Source organism: Homo sapiens, chromosome X (assembly GCF_000001405.40).
Source record: "Homo sapiens chromosome X, GRCh38.p14 Primary Assembly".
NCBI classification, from domain to species: domain Eukaryota; kingdom Metazoa; phylum Chordata; class Mammalia; order Primates; family Hominidae; genus Homo; species Homo sapiens.
The window spans coordinates 2,870,211-2,896,606 of record NC_000023.11 but is presented as its reverse complement, the minus strand read 5'-3'; the positions used below and the strand labels follow the sequence as shown (position 1 = coordinate 2,896,606).

Below are 26,396 nucleotides of genomic sequence, written 5' to 3'. Positions count from 1 at the left end.
AGTTTTGTTCACTCTTGTCGCCCAGGCTGGAGTACAGTGGCATGATCTCGGCTCCCTGCAACTTCCACCTCGTGGGTTCAAGCAATTCTCCTGCCTCAGCCTCCTGAGTAGCTGGGGTTACAGGCATGAGCCACCACACCCAGCTAATTTTTGTATTTTTAGTAGAGACGGGGTTTCACCATGTTGGCCAGGCTGGTCTCGAACTCCTGACCTCAGGTGATCAACCTGCCTCAGTCCCCAAAAGTGCTGGGATTACAGGCGTGAGCCACCATGTCTGGCCTAAATTTCTCTTTTCAAAGGGGAAATTTGTACTTTATTTTTAGCTGTCGAGGAGCAAGTAAAGAGCTCCTCTTGTATTAGCTGGTTCTCAGTGTTTCAGCTCAAAGTAATGGGTATGTTGGGCTGGTATATTCTGGTTGCCAGCAGTCATGTTTGGGGACGTGTATCCTGAGGTCTGACACTATAAAGCCTCCTCTACTTGTCTTTCGGTCCCTGCCAAAATGCAAAGGGTGATGTCTGACTCCCTTACTAGGGCTAGCTCTGAATAAGTGGCCTCTGCTCATTTTCATTTGGGACGAAAACATTTGGGATGGGGGACGTCTCATTTATTTCCACTTGTTCTATTTATTTATTTATTTTGAGACAGAGTCTCGCTCTGTTGCCCAGGCTGGAGTGGAGTGGGGTGATCTCAGCTCACTGCAACCTCCACCTCCCGGGTTCAAGCAATTCTCCTGCCTCACTCAGCCTCCCGAGCAGCTGGGATTACAGGCATGCGCCACCATGCCTGGCCAATATTCTGTGTGTATTTTTGGTAGAGACGGGGTTTCACCATGTTGGCCAGGCTGGTCTCAAACTCCTGACCTCAGGTGATTTGCCCACCTCAGCCCTGCAAAGTGCTGGGATTACAGGCATGAGCCACACACTTGGCTTTTTTTTTTTTTTTTTTTTTTTTTTTTTTTTTTTTTTTTTTTTGACACAGGGTCTGGCTCTGTCACCCAGGCTGGAGTACAGTGGCACAATCTTGCTCACTGCAACCTCTGCCTCCCAAGCTCTAGTGATACTCCCACCTCAGCCTCCCAAATAGCTGGGACCACAGGCGTGCACCACCACGCCCATCTAATTTTTGTATATTTTATACAGAGGAGGTTTTGTCGTGTTGCCCATGCTAGTCTCGAGCTCCTGGACTTAAGCAATCTGCCCACCTCGGCCTCTCAAATTGCTGGGATTACAGGCATGAGCCACTGTGCCTGGCCAATTTTCACCTGTTCTAAAGCAGCTGCTTAGAGGGCATGAGCTTGCAAAGACACAGCCCCTGAGCAGACTTCTCTATATGCACATAAGAAACAGCTAATGCACTGCCATCCCAATCCACAGCCAGACCTCGTATAATGGATAATCACCCTTCTCCCTGTGCCAGGATGTGGCCTCAGGGTAAAAATAATGAGTACAGCTGTGACATTTATTGAGTCCTTGACATGAGCCAGGCCTTGCTCTCCGTGCTTTGCAGATCACAGCTTCTACAATCTTCACAGCAATCGTGGCTCTTTCGCAACTGCAACTCCGTATCTTGGGGCATTTTGCCAATTTAGCCATTAGTCTATGAACAAAGCCACATTCTGATCAGGCTGAAGAATCAGGAAGGGAGAATGTGGCGGTGGGCTTTGTTCTGTATGTCACACAGCAATCTCGCTCTTTTACGGACATCACCTCACGTGGCTATGGCTCTTCTACTTCCCTACAGGGGACAAGGTGGGATAGTAGATCAAGGTGTTCTGCTCTCCCCGATCCAAGCCAAGGAGGAGCCAGGGTCTCAGGCTTGGATTCTCCCACGTTCACCCTGAGCATCTCACAACAGTAATCCCATAAAGCCACCGCTGCATGCTGTCCACAGGCTGTTCTTGATTTCGCCATTTTATAACACTAGCTCTTCTACGTTCCTTACTCTTCGAATGACCCCACACACTCACCATGCCTGGATGGTGTTGTTTAAGCAATCCAGGTTCATTTATGTTGCTTGTGAGGGGTTTCAGGACGTGCCGCCCCAAAACATGGCCCCTTGGCATTGGAGAAAACAGCAGAAGCGGGATGGTCTCTCTGACCTTCCTCTCATCTTTCTCTCCTGAAGCAGGTCAAACCACCCTCATTTGAAAGGTGCCTTAATACCCAGAGGAAAGAAACATCCTTAATTTCTTTTTAAAAAATTTTTAAATTGTTTTGTTTCCATAGGTTTTTGGGAAACAGGTGGTATTTGGTTACATGAGTCAGTTCTTTAGTGACAATTTGTGAGATTTTGGTGCACCCATCACCTGAACAGTATACACTGAACCCAATGTGTGTGGTCTTCTATCCCTCACCCCCTTCCAGCTCTTCTCCACAAGACCCCAAAGTCCATTGTGTCATTCTTACACCTTTGCATCCTCATAGCTTAGCTCTCACTTATGAGTGAGAACACACAATGTTTGGTTTTCCATTCCTGAGTTACTTCACTTAGAATAATGGTCTCCAATTCCATCCAGGTTGCTGTGAATGCCATTCATTCATTCCTTTTTATGGCTGAGTAGTATTCTATCATCTATATATATATACACACACACACACACACACACACACATATACACATATATGTGTGTGTGTATATATATATATATATATATATATAGATGATAGAATACTACTCAGCCATAAAAAGGAATGAATATATGTGTGTGTGTGTATATATATACATATATATGGGTGTGTGTGTATATATATATACATATATGTGTGTATATATATATATACACATATATGTGTGTGTGTGTATATATATATGTATCACAGTTTTTTTAATCCACTCATTGATTGATGGGCATTTGGGCTGGATCCACATTTTTGCAATTGTGAATTGTGCTGCTATAAACATGCATGTGCAAGTATCTTATCTTTTTCAAATAATAACTTCTTTTCCTCGGAGTAGGTACCCAGTAATGGGATTGCTGGATCAAATGGTAGGGAACATCCTTATTTCTGAAGATACAGGGATGCAGAAGAATCTGAACTATTAAATCAAACTAAAATCTGGCCTGAGAATGTCTCTGTACTCTCATACTTGAGTCCTTGTGGGTGAACCGTAACCTAACTTGGCAGGTAGGCGGGCGGACTGAAAAGCTAAGGTATTAGTCTGTTCCTGCGCTGCTGTAAAGAACTACCTGAGCCTGGATAATTTAGAAAGAAAGGAGGTTCAATTGGCTCATGGTTCCGCGGGCTGTATAGAGATCATGGCTGGGGAGGCCTCAGGAAACTTACAGTCATGGCAGAAGGCAAAGGGGAAGTAAGCGTGTCTTACCATGCCTGGAGCAGGACCGAGACAGAGTGGGGAGGTGTCACACACTTTTAAACAACCCGATCTCGTGAGAACTCTAAACCATTAGAAACCGCTGCCCCCATGATCCGGTCATCTCCCACCAGGCCCCACCTTCAACACTGGAGATTTGTGTGAGAACACACATCCAAACCATATCACCTAACTTAAGAGTATGCTTCTGTAACAAGCGACATCTCCACCAATCCCAGCAGCCATACTTCAACCACTCACAGGGAGCCAACTGTTCTAACCATGTTCAAATAAGGCAAACGCTGAGCTGTAACCAGTGGAATGTTTCTGTGTGTCTCTTTCATTTTCATTTTCTTTCTTTCTTTCTTTTTGATTAAACCTCTTTCTCTTCTGCAGCCCTGAGAGTTGGGGTACAGACATGCTGCATGCAACGAACCTATTATGGTTACAGTTTAGCCTGGACCAGGCAACAGAAGTGGGTCCTCAGAAGACACTGAATCTGCCATTCCTTGACCTTGGACTTCAGCCTCCAGAACTGTGAGCCACAAATGCTGGTTGGGGTAAGCCGTGTAGTCTATGGTGTTTTCTTATGGCAGCTTAAATTGACTAAGACAGCTGGGGAGCAATTTGGCAGGTAGTCTCTGAGGAATGGCTATTACCCGTGATGTCCCATCAACATCTTTGCCTGAATTGGTCCAGGTTTACGTGATTTCCATCCATCACAATGGCTCACCTTTTTAATTTTATTTTATTCATTATTTTATTTTTAATTTAATTTAATTTTATATTTTGAGGCGGAGTCTTGCTCTGTCTGTCACCTAAGCTGGAGTGCAGTGGCACAATCTCAGTTCACTGCAACCTCCGCCTCCTGGATTCAAGCGATTCTCCTGCCTCAGCCTCCCAATTAGCTGGGATTACAGGTGTGTGCTACCATGCCTGTTTTTGTATTTTTTGTAGAGATGTGGTTTCACTATATGTTGGCCAGGCTGGTCTTGAACTCCTGACCTCAGGTGATCCAGCTGCCTTGGCCTCCCAAAGTGCTGGGATTACAGGTGTGAGCCACCTGCTGTGCCTGGCCTGGGGTCCCTTTTATAAGGACACTTATCCCATTGATGAGTCTAGACCCCTAATTGTTTCCTAAAAGCACCATCTCCTAATACTATTGTCTTGGGGATTAAGTTTCAACACATGAATGTTCAAGGCACACAATGTTCAAGGCAAGCATTGAGACCATAGCAACAGCAAAATCCACAACACTGCCAAAGAATGCCCAAACAGCTGCCATTGTCTTCTACAAGACTCTACGCAACCTCCTAAAAGGCAGAATGCCTATACTGGCCTCTGCCAGCCATCAACAAGATTCCCGCTTTCCAGGCTCTCTGCCGACTCTATCCTATGAATTCTGGCTGGCCTTTGACCCTTCACTTCCCCAATGGACTCCCCTCTGAGAGAAGAAATCCATTTGAATGCAAGATCACTGACCAGTGTACAAAATGACAAATAAGATATCTCAGTGTTCTTGGACAGAGGCCAAGTCACCAAGTCACATGACCCGAACTGGGGTAGAAGACAGTAATGAAGGAAGGAAAGAGAGGTTCAGAATAGCCCATGAGCTGGATGAGCCCTCCTGAAGCTATTTCAATCTTGCTGTCAGAGGCTTTCGAATGAGAGCCACTCCATCTTGAATAGGGCCTGGGTAAAATGAGGCTGAGACCTGCTGAGCTGCATTCCCAGGAGGTGTGGCATTCTAAGTCACAGGATGAGATAGGAGGTCAGCTCAAGATACAGGACATAAAGACCTTACTGATAAAACAGCTTGCATGAAAGAACCTGGCCAGAACCCACCAAAACCAAGAGGTGACAAATGTGACCTCTGGCTGTCCTCACAGCTCATTATATGCTAATTATAAAGCACAGAATACTAAGAGACACTCCCACCAGCGCCATGACAGTTTACAAATGTCATGGGAATGTCAGGAGATTACCCTATATGGTCTAAAAGGGGAGGAACCCTCAGTTCTGGGAATTGCGCACCCCTTTCCCAGAAAACTCAAGAATAATCCAACCCCTGTTTAGCATCTAATCAAGAAATAACCATTAAAAAAGGCAACCAACAGCCCATGCTGCTGCTCTGTCTATGGAGTGGCCATGCTTTTATTCCTCTACTTTCTTGATAAACTTGCTTTCACTTTACTCTATGGATTCGCCCCGAATTCTTTCTTGCCGCAAGATCCAAGTGTAATGCCCAACCTGGTTTTTACTAACCTGTTTTTAGACTCTCCCTTTTCCTCTACTCACCTAGCCTTCTTTCCACCTGAATGGACTCTCCCTTAGCTAAGAGAGCCAGCCAGACTCCACCTTGGCTCTTTCACTGGCAGCCCCTTCCTCAAGGACTGAACTCGTGCAGGCTGACTCCCAGCACATCCAAGAATGCAGTTAACTGATAAGATACTGTGGCGAGCTACATCCGCAGTTCCCGGGAATTCGTCTGATTAGTAACGCCCAAAGCCTCGCGTCTATAATAGTCTTAAAGCCCCTGCACCTGGAACTGTTTACTTTCCTGCAACCATTTATCCTTTTAACTTTTTGCCTACTTTACTTCTGTAAAATGGTTTTCACTAGACCCCCCGCCCTCCCCTTCCTAAACCAAGATCTAAAAGTTAATCAAGCCCCTTCCTCGGGGCCGAGAGAATTTTGAGCGTTAGCCGTCTCTCGGTCGCCGGCTAATAAAGGACTCTTAAATCGTCTCAAAGTGTGGCGTTTTTCTAACTCGCTCGGGTACAACACAAGAACCCTCTCTTGGAATCTAGATAGGGACCCGTCTCCAGTAACATTGCCATTTTAATTTTTCACCCCTGGGTTTTGTCCCATCAGGGTCCATCCATTGGGTTATAAAATCTTTACAAGGAGAAATTCCTGTGAAGTCATTTTCCTGCAGAGCCGAGAGTTAGGGCACTGTGAGAAGTGCAGCAGGTCCTGGAGAGCATTCGTGGGAGAAGGGAAGCAGCAAGTGGTGCAGGAGGAGAAGGGGAGGAAAGGAAGAACCGCGAATGCGCCTGATTGGTGAGAACAAGATTTGGGGGTGCTTCTCCCATGGGGAAGACTTCTTGGTTTTAGCTTTCAAGAGCTCCTCATTGGAATTGGACAAGATGATGCCGATAAAGAGTAAAACTCTAAAATATTTGAAGAGATTTATTCTGAGCCAAATGTGAGTGAGCACGGCCTGTGACACTATCAGAGGCACTGGAGGCAGAGCCACTCCATCTTGAATAGGGGCTGGGTAACATGAGGCTGAGACCTGCTGGGCTGCATTCCCAGGAGGTGTGTGAGGCATTCATAGTCACAGGATGAGACGGGAGGTCGGCACAAAGCCCTCGGTGATAAAACAGGTTGCAGTACAGAAACCGGCGAGATCCCACCCAAACCAAGATGGTGACAAGAGTGACCTCTGGTGGTCTTCACTGCTACACTCCCACCAGCGCTGTGACAGTTTACAAATGCCATGGGAACGTCAGGAAGTCTCCCTGTATGGTCTAAAAAGGGAAAGAATGAATAATCCACCCCTTGTTTAGCATATCATCAAGAAATAACCATAAAAATGGGAAACCAGGAGACCTCGGGGCTGCTCTGTCTATGGAAGAGCCATTCGTGTATTCCTTTTCTTTCTTAAAAAACTTGCTTTCACTTTATGAACTCACTCAGAATTCCTTCCTGCACGAGCTCCAAGGACCCTCTCTTGGGGTCTGGATCTGGACTCCTTTCCAGTAACACAGCTATTAACATTAAAGTGTTAATTGACTGCAAATGCCAGGGAAAAGAGATGAAATGGTGAAGTATGAAGTATGACCTTCCGGGAGCCTCCACCAGAAAAGGAAGAAAGTCTCAGACCGGCATTCGTACAATCCCTAAACACACCGCACATGCTCACTTTCCAAGGGTAAGGAGGGCACTGCTTATGTGGGCAGCCCACCCCAAGGGAAGAATCATGGGTAAGAAAGAGGCCAGCACGTAAACTCCCAGGATCAAGGTTAGACTCCCTCGCTCTCGCTCTCTTTGACCTTCAGGCATGCACTTGCATCTCTTCCAGGAGTACCTTCCTTTCCTCCTGTTCTAAGGCTTTTTAAAATAAACTTCCACTCCTGCTTTGAAACTTGCCTTGGTCTCTTTTTCTGCCTTACGCCCTCAGTCAAATTCTTTCTTCCAAGGAGGCAAGTATTGAAATTGCCGCAGACCCCTACAGATTCGCCACTGGTAACTCAGGGTAACTCGGATCTCCCCACTGCTATCAGGCACAGAGTTTCAGTTTTGCAAGATGAAAAAGTTTTGGAGACCCATGCACAGCAATGTGATTAGACTTAACTCTACTGAACTCTTAACTCTACTCCCCCCCTTTTTTAAATTTTGGTATTTTTTTTGTAGAGACGAGGTTTCATCATGTTGCACAGGCTCATCTCCATCTCCTGAGCTCAAGAGATCCACTCACCGTGGCCTCCCAAAGTGCTGAGATTACAGGCATGAGCCACCGCAGCTGGCCTGAACTGTACTCTTGAAAATGGTTAAGATAATAAATTTAATGTTTTGTGTTTGCACTACAATAAAACATAGAGAGACCCCAGTTTATGTTGCTTCAACTCTTGCCTCCTTTTCCTATATTTTTCTCTTCCGTTTTCTCCTCTCCTCCCTTTTTGTTACCCCCACTTTCCCCTGAACCTTGACATATTGCAAAGCCTTGCAAAATAAACTGTTCTGAGAGTTGCTGAAAAGGGATTGCACCCATAATACCATGAAAGAGGTATTGAAACCACAGCAACGACAGTCTCCAATGGACACGATGCCAGGTTTTGCAACAGCTGAAGATGAAGAAAAGTGTAATTTGTTTTTTGGTTTTTGTTTTTTTTTTTGAAACAGAGTCTTGCTCTGTTGCGCAGGCTGGAGTGCAGTGACACGATCTCGGCTTACTGCAACCTCCGCCTCCAAGGTTCAAGCGATTCTCCTGCCTCAGCCTCCTAAATAGCTGGGATTACAGGAGCACACCACCACGCCTGGCTAGGTTTCATATTTTTAGTAGAGATGGGGTTTTGCCATGTTGTCAGGTTGGTCTCGAACTCCTGACCTGAAGTGATCCACCCGCCTCGGCCCTTCAAAGTGCTGGGATTACCAGCGAGAACCACTGCGCCTGGCCAGAAAAGTGAAATTTGGGCCAGTCCTCAAAAACATGTACCCCTCTCTCCTCATCTTACAAAACTCAGATCCTGCTGTGCCACAGTGAATCAATTATCTGTGCACAGGGGCCGTCTGGTGAGGATCTGCTGAATAAAAGCCCTTAGCTGTATTCAAGTCATTTCTTTTCCTTGACCACCTGTTCAAGCAGAATTAATGAACAGGCGTCTACCATGTTTACTAATATTTCTAAGTTTTTTTTTTTTTGAGACAGGGTCTTGCTCTGTTGCGTAGGCTGGCTAAATTTGTAAACGTCATACACAGTCATAAACATTTTTTATCTTAATGGTAATTTTTTCTTCTTCTTCTTTTTTTGAGACATAGTCTCACTATATCACCCAAGCTGGAGTGCAGTGGCGTGATCTTGGCTCACTGCAGCCTCCACCTCCTGGGCTCAAGCAATATAATTTTTAAAACCCAAGTTATTGGCAGTATCTCTAAAGATCTCAATAAGGCCAGGGACGATGGCTCACACCTGTAATCCCAGCACTTTGGGAGGTAGAGGTGGGCAGATCGCTTGAGTCCAGGAGTTCGAGACCAGCCTGGGCAACATGGCGAAATCTGTCTCTACTGAAAAAAAAAAAAAAAAATTACCTGCGCATGGTGGTGCAAGTCTGTCGTCCCAGGTACTAGGGGGACTGAGGCAAGAGGATGACTTGAGCCTGGGAGGTCAAGACTGCTGTGAGCCCTGACGGTGCCGCTGCACTCCAGCCTAAGCAACACGGTAAGACCCTGTCTCAAAAACAAGATTTCAATCGGATGTTGACAATGAGAGCAGCAGCTCATGCTTTCATGCTTAATTGTTCCCACAGACTGTGCTAAGAGCTTTATGTTTATTGTCTCGTTTTATCCTCAGAAAATTCCCATGAGCATGTGGTATTGTAATCCCTCTTTTATAGATAAGGAGAGAAGATGTGGGGCTTAGCGTTCATTTGTTACAAAGATGTTTTTAAACTACTGGCTGCGTTTCCCTGAGGAGGTGTGAAGTCAATTTAGAACATAAAAATTGGCTTGTTCTTAAAAATAAGACCTTGGAGAAATGCCTGGCCCCAGGTGTGAGGGGAGAAAATCTATGATGGTTCTGGAGAATCTCATTTTGCCAGGAAGCAAGGAAGTGATCAAAGACTAATGGGGGCCAGGTGCGGTGGCTCACACCTGGAATCCCAGCACTCTGGGAGGCCAAGGCAGGCAGATCACTTGAGGCCAGGAGTTGGAGACCAGCCTGACCAACATGGCGAAACCCCGTCTCTACTAAAAACACAAAAATTAGCCAGGCGTGGTGGCACGCGCCTATAATCCCAGCTACTCGGGAGGCTGAGGCAGGAGAATCACTTGAACCCGGGAGGTGGAGGTTGCAGTGAGTTGAGATCGTGCCACTGCACTCCAGCCTGGGTGACAGAGCGAGACTCTGTCTCAAACAAAAATAAATAAAAATTTAAAAAGACTAATGGGATTAGTTCATAGACTTAAGAATCCATCTAAAGTGAGGAGAGTCCCACTGGTAAATCTGGTACAATTTGAGCCAGACATGGTGGCTCTTGCCTGTAGTCCCAGCCACCTGGGAGGCTGAGATGGGAGGATCAGTTGAACCCAGGAGGTTGAGACAGCAGTGAGCTATATGATCATGCCACTGCACTCCAGCCTGGGCAACAGAGTAAGACCCTGTGTCGTTTAAAAAAAAAAAAAAAAAGGAACAGTTTAAACATTAAAAAAATAATAAATTGGACTGTTTTACACGTTGAACAATCAAAACATAGTAGTGATAGTCAAGAGGAGTGTGCTAGGGAGGGAAAGAGAAACAGAAAAGCTCTTTTGTGCAGCTGAGTGTTGGGCCATGAATGCTGCAATAATGACAGACTCACAGAGCATCAGCATTTAGCAACTATGCAATGGAATCCAGACAAGCATCCTCAAGGCATGCTACAATCCCGTGTAAAGTATATTCTTGCACAGTACATGTCACATACTAGGTATAGCTGGATTTGCACGAATGTGCTTCCAACAGATATTGTCTGTGCCAATAAAAACTTCATTTTGTTTCTTAGGATGATGGATAGAGCAGGGATAGAAGACATCAAGTTTGTAAACCTATGCAACTCATTTGATCTATTAAAAAAAATGGGGGCCAGGCACAGTGGTTCATGCCTGTAATCCTCAGTACTTTGGGAGGCCAAAGCAGGAGGAATGCTTGAGGCCAGGAGTTGGAGACCAGCCTGGGCCACATAGTGAGACTCCTATGAGACCCTGCCTCTACAAAGTTTAAAAAAATTAGCTGGGTGTGGTGGCACATGCCTGTAATCCCAGTTACTTGAGAGGCTGAGGTGGGAGGATCACCTGAGCCCTGGAGTTGGAGGCTGCAGGAAGCGGTGATCGGGCCACTGCACTCCAGCTTGGACAAGAGTGAGACTCCGTGTCAAAAAAATAAAAATAAAAAATAATAAAATAATTAAAATAGATGATTTAATTATTTTATTTTTCTTTCTTTTTTTTTTTTTTTTTGAGACAGAGTCTCACTCTGTTGTCTAGGCTGGAGTGCAGTGGTGTGATCTCAGCTCACTGCAACCTCCACCTCCTGGGTTCAAGTGATTCTCCTGCCTCAGCCTCCTGAGTAGCTGGGATTACAGGCATGCACAACCATGCCTGACAAATTTTTGTATTCTTGGTAGAGACGGGGTTTCACCATGTTGGCCAGGCTGGTCTTGAACTCCTGACCTCAGGCGATCTGCCCGCCTTGGCCTCCCAAAGTACCAGGTACAGGTGTGAGTCACTGTAATCGGCCAAAGATACATAAATAAATAATTTTTAAAATGGTACTGTACACTAAAGAGCAGAGGCCTATGAAACCAGAAAGAATTGCTCTGCTTTTCCTAATTCAAGGGTGGTGGTCAGAAAGAAACCCCTTTCTGCTTCAAACTACAGTTCCACCCCAAAACGCGTTAACACTAGGACCTGTTTCGTGCTTCCAAGCATCAGCCAAAGGTTTTGGCAGGATTCGACCAAGTGGCTTTGAGGAACAAAAATACTATAACTTATTCCTGTGGATCTGTAGGCATCAATCCACCCTGCCAATTCGACAGATCTAGAAATCCTTTCCTTCCCACATCATTTCCACTTGCCACAAGATAATAATCTCATAATATTTATTTATTTATTTTTAAATAATTTCAACTTTTATGTTAGGTCTAAGGGGTACACGTGCCGGTTTGTCACTAGGGTATTTTCTATGGTAGTGAGGTACCCCCACCCACGTACTCAGCACTGTACCTGTGAACCCTGAAAATCTGAGACAGGTCTCAGTTAGTTTAGAAAGTTTCTTTTGCCAAGGTTGAGGACACACACCTGCGACACGGCCTCGGGAGGTCCTGGCGACATGTGCCCAAGGTGGCCAAAGCACAGTTTGGTTTTATATATTCTAGGGAGACATGAGACGTCAATCAACATGCCCATTTTTAACGACACTCTCGGTGGCCCCTGACAGCCACCCAGTGAGATACACAGCATATTGTGCCCATTGAATGAAGATACTTCTGACAATGAGGATTTCTCGTGGAAAAAAGTGTATATTCCCAAACTTATGGTGTATTGATTTGTCCCATGTCACACAGCTGGGTATAAAGAGAGCACTCAATAAGCATATGACGAATGAATGAATGAAACTGACAAAGCAAAGTTCAGAAAATGGGTACCTTTCCTAAAGAGATCCTGCAAGATCGCAAAAAGTTAGAAGTAAACAGTTCTATGCATTTCACTGTGACCAGCAATTCTGAAAAATCCATCTGATAATTTAAATTTATTGTTGGAACTGACTCCTCCTATCTAGCTGTAATTTTGTACCCTTTAACAAATCTCTCCCCATCACCCCTTCTCCCTACCCTTCCTGACCTCTGGTATCCTCTGTTCTAGTTCTTACTTCTATGAGATCCAGTTTTGGGTTTTTTTTTTTTAAGGTAGTTCTAGTGTTCTATAGCAGGGGTCCCCAACCCCTGGGCTGCAGACCAGTGCTGGTCCATGGCCTATTAGGAACTGGGCCGCACAGCAGGAGGTGAGTAGCGGCGAGTGAGCAAAGCTTCATCTGTATTGATAGCCGCTCGCCATCGCTCCCATTACCACCCGAGCTCTGCCTCCTGCAGATCGGCGGCCGCGTAAGATTCCCATAGCAGTGCAAACCTTACCGTGAACTGTGCATGTGAGGGGATCTAGGTTGCGTGCTCCTTATGAGAATCGAATGCCTGATGATCTGTCTCCTGTCACCCCTGGATGGGACTGTCCAGTTGCAGGAAAACAAGCTCAGGGCTCCCACTGATTCTACATGATGCTGAGTTGTATAATTATTTCATTGCATGTTACAATGTAATCATAACAGAAATAAAGTGCACAATAAGTGTCATGCACCTGAATCATCCCAAAACCATCCCCCCAGCCTGGTTTCTGGAAAAATTGTCTTCCATGAAACTGGTCCCTGGTGCCAAAAAGGTTGGGGATCACTGGTATATAGCACTATAGGATGACTACAGCTCAAAATCATATATTATATAGTTTCAAATATATATATAGAAGGAGAATACTGAATGTTCCCAACACAAAAAATGGTACAGGTTGGAGATGATGGATATGCTAATTCCCGTGACCTGATCAGTAGACATGACGTGTACTGCAACTTTACTACATGCCCCATAAATATGTACAATTATTACATGACAGTTAAAAAACATTTTAAATCAAAAATAAAATAAAGTATGTTTATTGTTTACTGTTAAAATTTTACCTTGCAATTCCAGCTCAAATAATGCTTATTATTATTATTATTATATTTTATTTATTTATTTTTTTGAGACAGATCCTCACTCTGTCGCCCTGGCTGGAGTATGGTGGTGTGATCTCAGCTCTCTGCAACCTCTGCCTCCCCAGCTCAAGCAACTCTTGTGCCTCAGCCTCCCCAGTAGCTGGGATTGCAGACGTGTGCCACCATGCCCGGCTAATATTTTTGTGTTTTTGGTAGAGACGGGGCCTCACCATGTTGCCCAGGCTGGTCTTGAACTCCTGGCCTCACGTGATCCACCTGTTTCAGCCTCCCAAAGTGCTGGCATTACAGGAGTGAGCCACCACGCCCAGCCCGATGCTTACTATTTTAAAAACAAAATACAATAGAAAAGGCCGAAAATAAAATAGAAAGGCCCTACCCTTGGTTTAATATAAAATATAAGCCTGATATCGCAGGAAATAGGCAAACACACACTGGAAGGAGGCCACATGGCTGTTTTTTAACATTTTAATTTCAACGTGCCAGCATTTGTCCAAATGAGATGATACAGGCTAGAATGCACGGCGGAATTCCAGACTGGACTCACTCCATAAGCCAACTCATCACTGCCCGTGAACATGAATTCTGGTCCTCAGAGAAGCTGACATTGTTTCCCTGAACATTCCCGTGGTCTCCTTCTGAAAGCCGATGACCATCCAACCCTGACTCACCTGAAATATCCTACGAGCCTCGCCCTCCGAGACTGACGATTATTAACCACCCACACGGAAAAAGAAACAGCCCCTCCATCACCCACATCTTGTACACAAAAAAATGCCACCACTAATGCCATAAATTCAGGCAGGTTCCTCTATCCAAAGGCTAAACTGCTTCAGGTGACCTAAAAAGTGGCCACGCCTCTCCACGTAAACACATCCAGCTGACACAGGCTAGGATCGAGTTCTCCCACGGCCTTCCTATCCCGTCTCTAATTTACTCTCTGCTTTTCCCTGGAATGTGCATGAGAAATAAACCTTCCAAACATTTCAAAAGTCGCACTTTCCTCCTTTATTACAACCATGCCCATTTTTAACGACACTCTCGGTGGCCCCTGACAGCTACCTGGTGAGATACACAGCATATTGTGCCCATTGAATGAAGATACTTCTGACAATGAGGCTTTCTCGTGAAATAAAGTTTCCCGTCTCATAAAACTGAGAATTCTCTGGAAAGAGCTGAGTGGAAATGGCTTTGAGGAGGGCAGTGATTCACTAAGTTATTGAGAACTGAGGTAGTGAGGGTAGAGACCAAGCCAAGAGCAGTCAAGGGTGGACCGACTGCACCCTGACTTTTGTTGTCAAGCAGAGAGCATCTCTAGATCCTGTTATCCTCTAAACGATTTAGAGCAAGCCCTCGTTGCTTCTCAACCAGGAAGTGAATCGGTTTAGATCCTCTAAGCCACCCACATTCCCCAAGCCACCTACAATCTTTCTTCCCAACGTCCACGAGTAGAATTTCTGTCAACGCTCTAGGAAGTCCTGTTAGGATTTAAAGCAGAGAGACCACAGCCGAGGTGTTTCTCAGATACACTTCGCCAAGTCCAAATGAAAGTCAGTCACCACGTCTAAATGTTTCCTTAGCCCTACAGAAATGGGTCTCCATGGCAAAGCCTCAGAGGTGCTAAATACGTATATTAGTGTTGTTAGCTTCGTGATGGGAGGAAATTTGCAGTGAGGTTTAATTCTGAATAGGGTAGGTCTCACAGCACCTGTACAACACAGCTCCAGCGTACTTCAGAGGTCCTTCGGGCAAGAGCGGAGACCACCATCGAGAGTCTACTAGAATGTTATTACTGCTCGCTTTTGCCGACAGCTTCAAGGGTAGAAGTGACCTCTGAAGAAAGCCCAGAAGGCGTTGGTGGAGAAGTTGGGGCGAGGGGCTTTAAGGTGGATTTCTATACTCTACGTTTTTTGTGTGAGGCACTCAAATGGATTAAGCATAAATAGAGGCACAAGGTTCAACAGCGTTTCCCTTTGAAAGGACCAGAGGAGATCTCCACGCAACAGGACCACCCAACAGGACATTGTCTAACTACACACAACGCCCACCAGCTGCCGGATTACTGCAGGAACCGGTCCAGCTTCTCCTGGATGCGAGCAAACGCGTCCTTCCCCATGTAGTCGATACGGCCTTCCTCCCACTTCCTCCTCTCTTCCTCGGGGCTCAATTCCTTCACCTTCTCTTCGATGGAGATCTGGGAAACAGAGACGGCCAGGTCGACCTAGGGAAGACAGTCAGTGGGAGATGGTTTTTGCAGCTGTCCATTATCGAGGGAAAGACTGCTAAAACCCATCCAGTGTAGGGTCCCGCAGAAAGATGCATCTCAGTTCTCAAAAAGAGATTGCGAATCACTAGCACTTTGTTTTTAATGAGACAGGGTCTCTGTCGTCCAGGCTGGAGTGCAGTGGTGCAGTCACAGCTCACTGCAGCCTTGACCTCCTGGGCTCAAGAGATCCTCCCACATCTGCCTCCTCAGTAGCTGGGACTACAGGGCACATCACCATGCCCAGCTGATTTTTGTATTTTTTGCACAGATGGGGTCTCATTATGTTGCCCAGTGTGGTCTTGAATTCCCGGGCTCAAGCAATCCTCTTGCCTTGGCCTCCCAGTGAGCTGGGATTGCAGGTGTGAGCCTCCACACCCAGCAGCACTTTTCTTTTGAGCTAAATATACACTAGATTTAGTATAATATGCTTAGAAGATAATTTTTTTTGCTTAAGTGTTTTGAAATTTTATAAAATGTAATTGTATATGTTCTCTTTTTCTGAAGAATTGTTTTCATTTCTAGCCACTAAACCATTTTAAACACACACATGCACACATGCGCATGTGCACACACACACACACACACACACACTAATTTAATACTCTCACCCACCAAAACTTCTGTTTTGTATGACAGTGAATAACCAAACTACGTTAAATGAAAAAACAACTCACCTCCTGTAAGTAAAGCCTATAAGAATTTGGACTGCTTGGCAAAGGAATTTAAATAATAATTCAGATAGTTTTTTCAATGGCAGAGTTCCTGCCTTCTTAAGGGTCATGTGAAAAAACAGATGAAAATGCAAGTGTGTAACAACACACACACACACACACACACACACATTTTGTTTGGCATTCAGATGAGTCAACAAAAAGAACAAATACATTTGCTTTAAACACTTCTTACCAAGAACTAGAAAAAGACTCTTAAAAATTTAAAGATGGTAACAATAATAGACACACACACATCTTTCTATCTATCTATCTATCATCTATTTATCATCTATCTCATCTACCAACCATCTATTATCTATCATCTATCTCATCTATCTACCTATGTTCTATCTATCCACTCATCCATCCATCCATCCATCCATCTGTCCATCCATTCTATTTATCAATAAATCATCTGTCATCTATCACTCCATCATCTATCTACCTATTTATCTATCTATGATCTCTACCTACCTATCTACTTTCTATCAATCTATCTATCCATTTATCCATCCATCCATCCATCCGTTCTATACTCTATCATTTATCTATTTATCTAAAATATCTCTCTACCTATCTACCTATCTATCATCTATCACTCTATCATTCATTTATCTATCATCTCTATCTACTACCTATGTTTTATCTCTTCTATATCTATGTATCTATTATCTAGATGTGAGGATGAATGGATATATAGATGAGATAGATGATAGAAAATAGATAGATAGCCGGGTGTGGTGGTTTATGCCTGTAATCCCACTTTGGGAGGCCGAGGCAGGTGGATCACTTGAGGTCGGGAGTTCGAGACCAGCCCGGCCAACATGGTGAAACCCCATCTCTACTAAAAATACAAAAATTAGCCGGGCTTGGTCGTGGGTGACTGTAGTCCCAGCTACCCGGGAGGCTGAGTCAGGAGAATCACTTGAACCCGGGAGGCGGAGGTTGCAGTGAGCCGAGATCACGCCACTGCACTCCAGACTGGGTGACAGAGTGAGACTCCATCAAAAAAAAAAAAAAAAAGAAAATAGATAAGAGGTAGATAGATAGATACATGATATGTATAGAGATAGATATATAGAAAGATAAATTTGAGTTTTTACACCATAGGCATATACTACTTTCTTCTCTAATTACTTGCCGCAGTGTTTTTAGAAGGTTTTTACATATAAGATTCTGCCTTCTACACTCATTCCCATATATTATATTTTATTTAAAGACAGCCATCCTATTGATTAAGGTGATAGCAAGAGTTAACAAATAAATTAAAAAGTCCACTTCAGGATACTGCAGCATTTCTCCCCTCTAAGAGCACTTGCATTTAGATCCATTCAGTTCCTGAGAATGAAATGTTTCTGGAATTAACAGGACCTACAGCACCCAACCTTATACTAGTTTTCAAGACAAAACAGCACAGTGATTGTGACATTTCTGCTAACAAGAGATGAGTATCCAAGAAAACAACAAGCTGCTCCAATGTTATGAATTAGGGTATTATACAAGATACTAAATAAAGTTCCCCTAGAGGACAGTGTGGACACACAGGAGGTCAAAGTGCCCCGGTTTAGCAAATCAATGACCGAAATCTTCCTCATCTTTATGAGCCAAGCACTAACTAGGGCTTTCCCTATACCACTCTCCTTTTTAATACCCCTCCTTCCAATTCTGTGAGGTGGGCAACCCAGTCTCCACCTCATGAACACTGAAGCAAAGTAATGAACTCAGGCTGGGCGCGGTGGCTCATGCCTGTAATCCCAGCATTTCGAGAGGCCAAAAAAGGAGGATCACTTGAGGCCAGGTGTTCGAGACCAGCCTGGACAGCATAGTGAAACCCCAACTCCACAAAAAATAAAAATAAAAAATTAGCTGGTTGCAGTGGCCCATGCCTGTAGTTCCATTTCCTTGGAAGGCTGAGGCAGGAAGACTGCTTAGCTATGATCATGCCACTGCACTCCAGCCTGGGCTACACAGCAAGACCCTGTCCCTAAATAATAATAATAATAATAATAATTTTTAAAAAGAAAAAGTAATGAACTCATCCAGGATCCCAAACCTACCACATGGCTGAGCTGTCCAACGTAGGTCTTACCCAACCTCACACTGATGCCCTGTCACTCACTAATAACTACAGATTCAATTCACAGAGCCTCAAATGATGACCACAAGGATGGAACATGCTGAAGGGATACATTCACATGTTTATAAGAAACCTGGACCTCAACCAACAGCTCTAGAAATTAAGTTCAAAATGCTGCATTTGAACAGTAACCAAGTAAGAATGAGAAAAACAAGTTCACATTTTCTCCAAGGGTGACTGTCCAGGGAAGGCATTTAGCCAACACAGTAGGTCACACTCTAAACATGCGTTCAATACCAACTTTCAGTCTAGACCTAAACCTAGCTCTAGAGCTGTATTGATTGTTACTTAAAGACCAAATGGCATTATTAGATCATGCTTAAAGAGCAAGAGAAAACGTTAGCAATTGCTTTCATTAAATGCATCAATGGAGAGAACGTAGTTGAAGATGAAAACATCTCTAAGAGGAAGGAACAGAAAGCATGCATCTCTCATTTCATCCTGAAAGAAGAAATTATTTGCATGCCCCATTTGGATTCGAACATTAGCATGCCCCACTCCCTCCAATTTTCAGCTTTTAATCTCTTCATTTCAGAAAATGGATTGCTACGCATTAATTTCCACAGTCCCTCAACTTCCCTCCTGATCCCTTCTGCAGAACAGCTTTTAAAGAGAGAAAAAGCGTGATGATCAGACTTGAAGATGGCAAAAGAGAGTCGGCCGATCACCCCAGGCAAATGCCAGAGAGAAGACAGAAGAATCAGAGGCAGGGGAAGAGGGAAGCCGATTCTTATTTTTTGTTAAATGAGGCTGAAAAATTAACAGCTGTTGTGTGCATGCAGTTGACCTCAGTGACGGTGGATGGCCCCCACCGGGAGCCTTGGGCAAGGGGAAGAATTTGGATACCACCTCCAGTGCATCCTGCAGACTGGGGTCCCTGAGAGCCTCAGCAGGGAGTTCCTGGCTTGGTTCGAAGGTTTCCTCGGATGAGACACTTTCGACTTTATTTGCTGGCTGCTAAAACATAACCATTCCATCATTAGTCTGCGGTGGGCTGCAGGGAACTGTAGCCCTAACCTAAATGATGGAGAACTCTTTATCCTGGGGTAAAATAAAATCAAATTATTGGGTTGAGGCCAGGCGCGGTGGCTCATGCCTGTAATCCCAGCATTTTAGGAGGCCAAGGCAGGAGGATTGCCTGAGCCCAGGAGTTCGAGACCAGCCTCGGCAAAATAGCAAGACCTCATCTTTATTATAACTTTTTTTTTGAGACGGAGTCTCACTCTGTCGCCCAGGCTGGAGTGCAGTGACGTGATCTCGGCTCACTGCAAGCTCCACCTCCCGGGTTCACGCCATTCTCCTGCCTCAGCCTCCGGAGTAGCTGGGACTACAGGCGCCCACCACCACGCCCAGCTAATTTTTTGTATTTTTAGTAGAGACGGGGGTTTCACCGTGTTAGCCAGGATGGTCTCGATCTCCTGACCTCATGATCCGCCCGCCTCGGCCTCCCAAAGTGCTGGGATTACAGGCGTGAGCCACCGCGGCCGGCACTATAATTAACTTTTTTAAAAAAACTGATGGACTGTACTCGATCTTCTTTTCTGGGAATGCTAAAAATAGCTCAGCTTCTCTCCCCTCACTTTTTCTGAGCCATCCACCAAGTCTCAGACAAGAGGAGATGCTACAAGTTCTTATGCAATTCATGGAAGTTAAATTTTCAGAGAGAGATTTGACTTGTTTATACCAAATGCCTACAGAAGCATTTTACTAAGATAGTCTCTTTGAGAGTTTAAAAACAGGGGGGTGTCCATAAAGCCAGTTTTCTGATGATATGTGGCAATAAAAGCCCAGATTCATAAGGGTAAACTTAGAGAAAAAAAGAATTAAAATAAAATCCATAGTCATGGAATATTGATTTTAGACATGGTGCAAGTCCTATCAAAAGTTTAAAAAAATTAATGGAGACATAGATGCTATATAGACGCTGTATCTTTTTCTTATTAATTTTTTTAAGCAAAGTGGAAGAGAATAACAAAATGACGAAAAAGAAAACCCCACAATAAGTTCGAACAGACAGCCAGATTCCTTATCCACCTGGATAATAGAGAAATAGACTAATTATAACACAACTTATTCCAGGTGGGAGAAACCACTCAAAAAAAAAAAAAAAAAAAAAAAAAAAAGGGAGGAATTTTTAAAAGCCTATGGCGCCCCCACTGGTATGTAATGGGGATAGACCCTGTGAGAAAATAACAAGCAATAAGAGAGCTGGCCATGTGTAGGTCATATAGATGAGGAATACCAAGATGGTTTCAGTCTCTGTGAAGTCTGCAGGCTGAGGGGAAGGCTGGGACAGTGGGTCACACGTTATCACGGCAGGAGTCTCAGTTTCAGGACAAGCTATCATCTGTTATAAAGAAAGAGCAAAGGCAAGTTAAGTCAAACCTTCGTGCAAATAAATGCAACTTAATTGAAAATACCCACTCCATTTTTTTCTGCCTCTATGGTGCAAATACAACTTGATATGGGATAGGACTGGGGCAAGGTGATATGCTCACCAATACCTGTGTTTGTTTCTTCTTCTTCTCGGGCTAATGTCTAAGTGCATTTTGTGACCTCCTTGCACCTGGACAGGACCATGGAAGTGATTCCCACAAGCAGATTGAGTGAATGTGAGGAGGTGATGTGAGTGAATGTGAGGAGGTGATGTGAGTCACCTCTGGGCTGGGCAACGAGAGGAATAAGATATTCCTATCCTCTCTTCTACCACCAGCCAGGTGAAAAACAAGATCCCTCCACCCTCTCTGAACTGGGCCTCCATAAGAAAATAAAACCAAACAGAGAACAAATCAGGTGACTCTTTTCTCAACTCTCCCAAGGATGGTCCATATCTAACACCATGCTAGATGGGGAGGAGATTACTTAATGCATTACGTACAGTGGCTGCCGTCAGCAACAGCGCCTAATCCTCCCAAGGAGTCTCACTTGAGAAGAGCTGCCCTAGAAGGTGGTGCACAACAATAGGAGCATCCTGGATCCCTGAAAGGCTGCATGGGGTAGAGGATACCTTGGCCACCCCAGCTGGCTGTGATACAAATGAGAAATAAACTTTTACTTATTTGGGGGCTGTTTGTTATAGCAGCTAGCCTACCTTGACAAATACAGGGTCAAGAAGCAAACCTGTGTCCAAACACTGGGGCCCCCATCAGGTCAGGTCACAAAGCAGTTAGCTTAATGAGTGTGAGCAACAGAGATAAGAGAACACTGACATCCTCACTGAAAACACACTGTGGAATTCTTGGGGGTGGATGGGGTTGAGCCTCAACATGAGCCCCTCTTGCCTGCACCAGGCCAACTTCAGAGAATTGTAATCCTTCAAATGCAGACCCGCAGGCCATGATCCCAGAGATTTTGAGTGATGTCAGCTGGGGTGGAGATCAGTCACTCGGATACTCAGCTCCCAAATTTCTGATCCTAGCATTCCCTTTTAGGAGAATGTCCAGTTCATTCTCCTAATCGAGGCATGAATGTATGCATTTCACAGGTGTTTATGGAGAGGTAGGTAGTGAAGATTAAACAGTGGCCTACACAGATATGATCTGCACCTTCATGAAGCTTACTGTCAAAGAAGACAGAAAATCAACAAATAACAAATACAAAATGGCAAGCCATGAGAAATTCTAGGAAAGAAAATGGTTATCAATTCTAGGAAAGAAAATGGTTATCAATTCTAGGAAAGAAAATGTTATCAAGAGACCTCACCTGGTCTAAAGGGGGAGACACTCCTAGGGAAGTAATATCTAAAATGAAGCCTGAAGGCTGAGTAGAAGCCAATGATGTAGAACGACTGGAAATGAAGTAAGAAGAAGAACATGCTGAAAAATGCACGTGAAAGCAGATCAGCATGTGCAATGCCCTAAGGCAGAGGAACAGGAGCACAGAAAGAAATAGAAAAAAGGTATCTATAAAAACTGAACACCCCCAAAAGTCATTATTAGTGAGATTTACTGAAACTTTAAGATGTAAAAGAGAACACTGTAATCATGAACCTTTTTTTTAATTTGACTATTCTAACTCATAATCACGAAAGTGCAATTGATTTTATTTATTTATTTATTTTATTTTATTTTTGAGACAGAGTCACCCAGGCTGGAGTGCAGTGGCATGATCTTGGCTCACTGAACCTTCTGCCTCCTGGGTTCAAGTGATTCTCCTATCTCAGCCTCTTGAGTAGCTGGGATTACAGGCATGCATCACCAAACCCAGCTAATTTTTTTTGTGTATTTTTTCGTAGAGATGGGGTTTCACCATCTTGGCCAGGCTGGTCTTGAACTCCTGACCTCAAGTGATCTGCCTGCCTCAGCCTCCCAAAGTACTGGAATTACAGGTGAGTCACCATGCCCAGCCTCCGAAAGTGCACTTTAAATAACTCACAGAAGAATAGAGTGGAACAGTAGTTGCCAGGGGCTGGGGGCGGGGTGCTTAGAATGAAGACATGTTGGTGAAGGAATGAATATGAAGTTTTAGTTACACAAGATAAATAAGTTCTGGGGATCTAACATACAGCATGGTGACCACAGTTAACAATATAGGATTGTGTACTTAAAATTTGCTATGAGAGTAGATCTTATGTGTTCTCATTACCAAGAACAGCAGCAGGAGGAGGAGGAGGAGAAAGAGGAGGAAGAGGAGGAGGAGGAGGAGAAAACAGCATTTATGCGAGGTGATGAAAATGTTAATTACCTTGATACAATGATTGTTTCACAATGTATACATACAGCAAAGCATCAAATTGTACTCCTTAAATACACACCAATTTTTATTTGTCAGTGGTACCTCAATACAGCTGGAGAGAAATTTTTAAAAATTAACATTAAATAAAATATGGGCTTCTTCTTTCAGATCTCAGCTATGTATGTAAAATCCAAATATAAAATTAAGTTCTAAGAATTATGGTGTAACACAAAATTATAAGTTGTCAAAGATATCAGACAACCATGATAACAGGACTCCTTTTTTAGTGGCTGCTCATGGCTGGCTGCTGAGTGACACTCATAAACTTCTCAGCCCTGATTCCTTTTAATCGCGACAGCCCTATGAGGCAGACAGGTTGAGCCTTCCCTCTTACTGCTGCAAAGTTTAATCTGCAGACAGAGATACTGCCCAACATACGAGAACTAGCAAGTGAGAGAGCGGGATTTGGGTATGCGCCTTGCAAAACACCAAAATGAGTCTTGGGAAAAAATGACGAATGCAATAACTGCATTATCATAAACCATATGAATCCCATAAAAATGAATAATTTCCTTCTTCAACCAGGGCTGGTAGAGGGATGTCCTGGATTTGAATACTGACCCATCAAGGAAAAGGACCTGCAGAAATGACTCTCTGAGTCATGGGGCTTTCAGTGAGATGTCACACAGACACTTATTGTGATGGATAAATGAAGCAGCCAGACAGGCAAAGAATAAGTGCTCAAAAAACCATTCCTGGAAATGGATTAGGGAAAATGTCAATCTGTTTCTGTCATCTAATTTCTCCCAACGATAAACACATAAATAAGTTCCACGGGGCCGATCATGAAGTATAATCCTTCCTCGGAAGGGATTTAACTCGGGGTTATATGTTTGATTACAGAGGATGAAATAATGATGCAAGTTCTCAGCTTGCCTTCTGCAGATGTGTTAATCTTACGAATTTAAACGAGGAAGAGAAGTTCAGTCAGCCCTTGCTAATGTTTCTAATCAAGACCCAGAGGCTTACTTAACAAGTAATATTAACAGCCGAAACATAAACCAACTTTTATGAATAAATATGGCCATTATTTTTACTAGTAAAAAGTAGACACTTCCCCCTTGCATATCATGCAGAGAGAAATTTTAAGATGAGAATGCAGCAATCTCAAAGTCCGCTCTTAAGAACATTTTTGGCAAGCTTGTGAATGCATGAATATAAAATGTGACTTTTACAAACTGCATTTCTTTTTATCCTTAGGTAATAACTATTCTACTGATGTATCCCCTAAAAGCCTGACTGAAGATGGGGTCACCTTGAAAGAAGGGACTCTGAAACTGGAGGCAGGCCAGAGAAGAATTCTCAGGTCATTGGAAAGAGGCTGAGATATGCAGAGATGCTTAAAACAAAATGCTCTGTGTGGGAAGATGAAAGCTGAGAGAGGACATCGTAAAGGCAGACGAGGCAGGGAACAGATAGACAGCAGACACAGAATGTTCCAGTACACAATCCAAGGAGATAACATTTACAGCAAAAAAGGAAGCACTCCTTTGCATTATGGGCTATAAATTTGTGAAAGTTATTACTGCTGGAGGTGGTGAATGCTAAAAATACAAATATATATGTATCAGCTCAGGAACTGAAATGAGATTTTTTCCACTTTCAGCAAATGGTGAAGCTGTTGTTTCACACTAAGTCTTCTGCCAAAAATACCTAAAAAGGCTGCACAAATAATGTATATAGAATTTTATTTATTTATTTATTTATTTATTTATTTATTTATTTATTTATTTGAGACGGAGTCTCGTTCTGTTGCCCAGGCTGGAGTGCAGTGGCACCATCTCGGCTCACTGCAACATCTCCCTCCCAGGTTCAAGTGATTCTCCTGTCTCAGCCTCCCGAGTAGCTGGGATTACAGGCACGTGCCACCATGCCTAGCTAGTTTTTGTATTTTTAGTAGAGATGGGGGTCTCACCATGTTGGCCAGGCTGGTCTCAAACTCCTGACCTCAGGTGATCTGCCTGCCTTGGCCTCACAAAGTGCTGGCATTACACGTGTGAGCCACCACACCTGGCCTAGAATTTTTTTTTTTTTTAAGTGCATCAGAGAGCTACTAAGGCAGCACAAAATTAAGAGTGAAGATACCAGAGACAAACAGAAGAGGTAAATGTCACATTTGGTACCTTACTTCCACTCAGGGCAAATAAGAGGCTGGGAAGCTGAGAAACTGAGTAGAGTTGCCAGCAGTGCTAGGAGGCTGAGGGGTCCATAAATATTAATAATCAGGACCAATGAGGGACCCTGGTACACACCACAAGCTTTCTTTTGTGACCTCACTGAGAGGAGAACCAGAAATAGACTGGTCATCACAAACACTGAAGCCCAATTTCCCTCCAGCTCAGCCCCAGATAGGGTCTGGGCAAACTACCTCAGGGTATGGACAAATCACATCAAATCACATGAATTAAAAAAAAAAATCCTCTTTGGGTTATGATAATATGATTCAGAGCTACAAATTGTCTTTGCAATTCTTTTTCATTTACCATGTCTGGCTGTCAATTAAAAAATTAACTATCATACAACAAGAAAAGACCAAATGAGTGAAAATCAAGAGCAAGCAAAATTAAACAACAAAACCAAACCCACCTGAAACCCAGATATGTAATTTATCAGACATGGACTATAATTAAATGTGAGAAATACTTTAAATAAGATGGGGAAAAAGATAAAAATTTTCAAGGTAGTATTGAAACTACATTGATGTTATTTGAACTAAAAATCTGATGTTAATTTGAACTAAAAACATAATAACTGAAGCTAGAATGTGGGTTTAACAACAGATTAGACATAGCCAAAGAGATCAGTTAACTAGAAAATAGGTCAGTAGACTGAAGTATGGGGAGAAAGATTGACAGAAAATGCAGATAACTGTGTCATAGATATATGGGACACAGTCAACGGTTCTACTAATGTTAGTAGAGGCCGGGCGTGGTGGCTCATGCCTGTAATGCCAGCACTTTGGGAGGCTCAGGCAGGTGGATCACCTGAGGTCAGGAGTTCGAGACCAGCCTGGCCAACATGCTGAAAACCCGGCTCTACTATAAATACAAAAAATTAGCCAGGTGTAGTGGCGGATGCCTGTAGTCCCAGCTAGTTGGGAGGCTGAGGCAGGAGAATCGCTTGAACCCAGGAGGCGGAGGCTTCAGTGAGCCGAGATCGCACCAGTGCACTCTAGCCTGGACGACAGAGCAAGTCTCTGTCTCAAAAAAATA

The 26,396-nt window shown here is 43.9% G+C and overlaps 1 protein-coding gene across 17 annotated transcripts in view, besides 3 other annotated features; it reads right to left on the bottom strand.

Moving 5' to 3' along the window:
• Positions 4,102-4,792: an enhancer, noted in NCBI's record as "OCT4-NANOG-H3K27ac hESC enhancer chrX:2809856-2810546 (GRCh37/hg19 assembly coordinates)". NCBI's record gives its function as "activates a minimal SCP1, AML or CMV promoter by ChIP-STARR-seq in naive and primed H9 embryonic stem cells {active_cell/tissue: H9 hESC(naive and primed)}" and the evidence as "EXISTENCE:reporter gene assay evidence [ECO:0000049][PMID:30033119]".
• Positions 6,311-6,902: an enhancer, noted in NCBI's record as "NANOG-H3K27ac hESC enhancer chrX:2807746-2808337 (GRCh37/hg19 assembly coordinates)". NCBI's record gives its function as "activates a minimal SCP1, AML or CMV promoter by ChIP-STARR-seq in naive H9 embryonic stem cells {active_cell/tissue: H9 hESC(naive)}" and the evidence as "EXISTENCE:reporter gene assay evidence [ECO:0000049][PMID:30033119]".
• Positions 6,553-6,642: an enhancer, noted in NCBI's record as "active region_29372". NCBI's record gives its function as "activates an Ori minimal core promoter by ATAC-STARR-seq in GM12878 lymphoblastoid cells {active_cell/tissue: GM12878}" and the evidence as "EXISTENCE:reporter gene assay evidence [ECO:0000049][PMID:35858748]".
• Positions 13,789-26,396, bottom strand: part of GYG2 (glycogenin 2) — a 53,889-nt gene continuing 41,281 nt past the window's right edge. For 6 of the 17 annotated variants that reach the window (XM_017029928.2, XM_047442609.1, NM_003918.3 and 3 more), the window contains 3 exons: positions 20,693-20,797; positions 19,300-19,407; positions 13,789-15,555 (listed from right to left, as the gene is read on the bottom strand). In XM_017029928.2, the coding sequence (XP_016885417.1) occupies positions 15,394-15,555; positions 19,300-19,407; positions 20,693-20,797 (375 nt within the window). In that variant the 3' untranslated portion in view covers positions 13,789-15,393. The remainder of the gene's footprint in view (positions 15,556-19,299; positions 19,408-20,692; positions 20,798-26,396) is intronic. The other 11 variants (XM_047442613.1, NM_001184703.2, XM_017029930.2 and 8 more) reach the window with 2 other exon arrangements.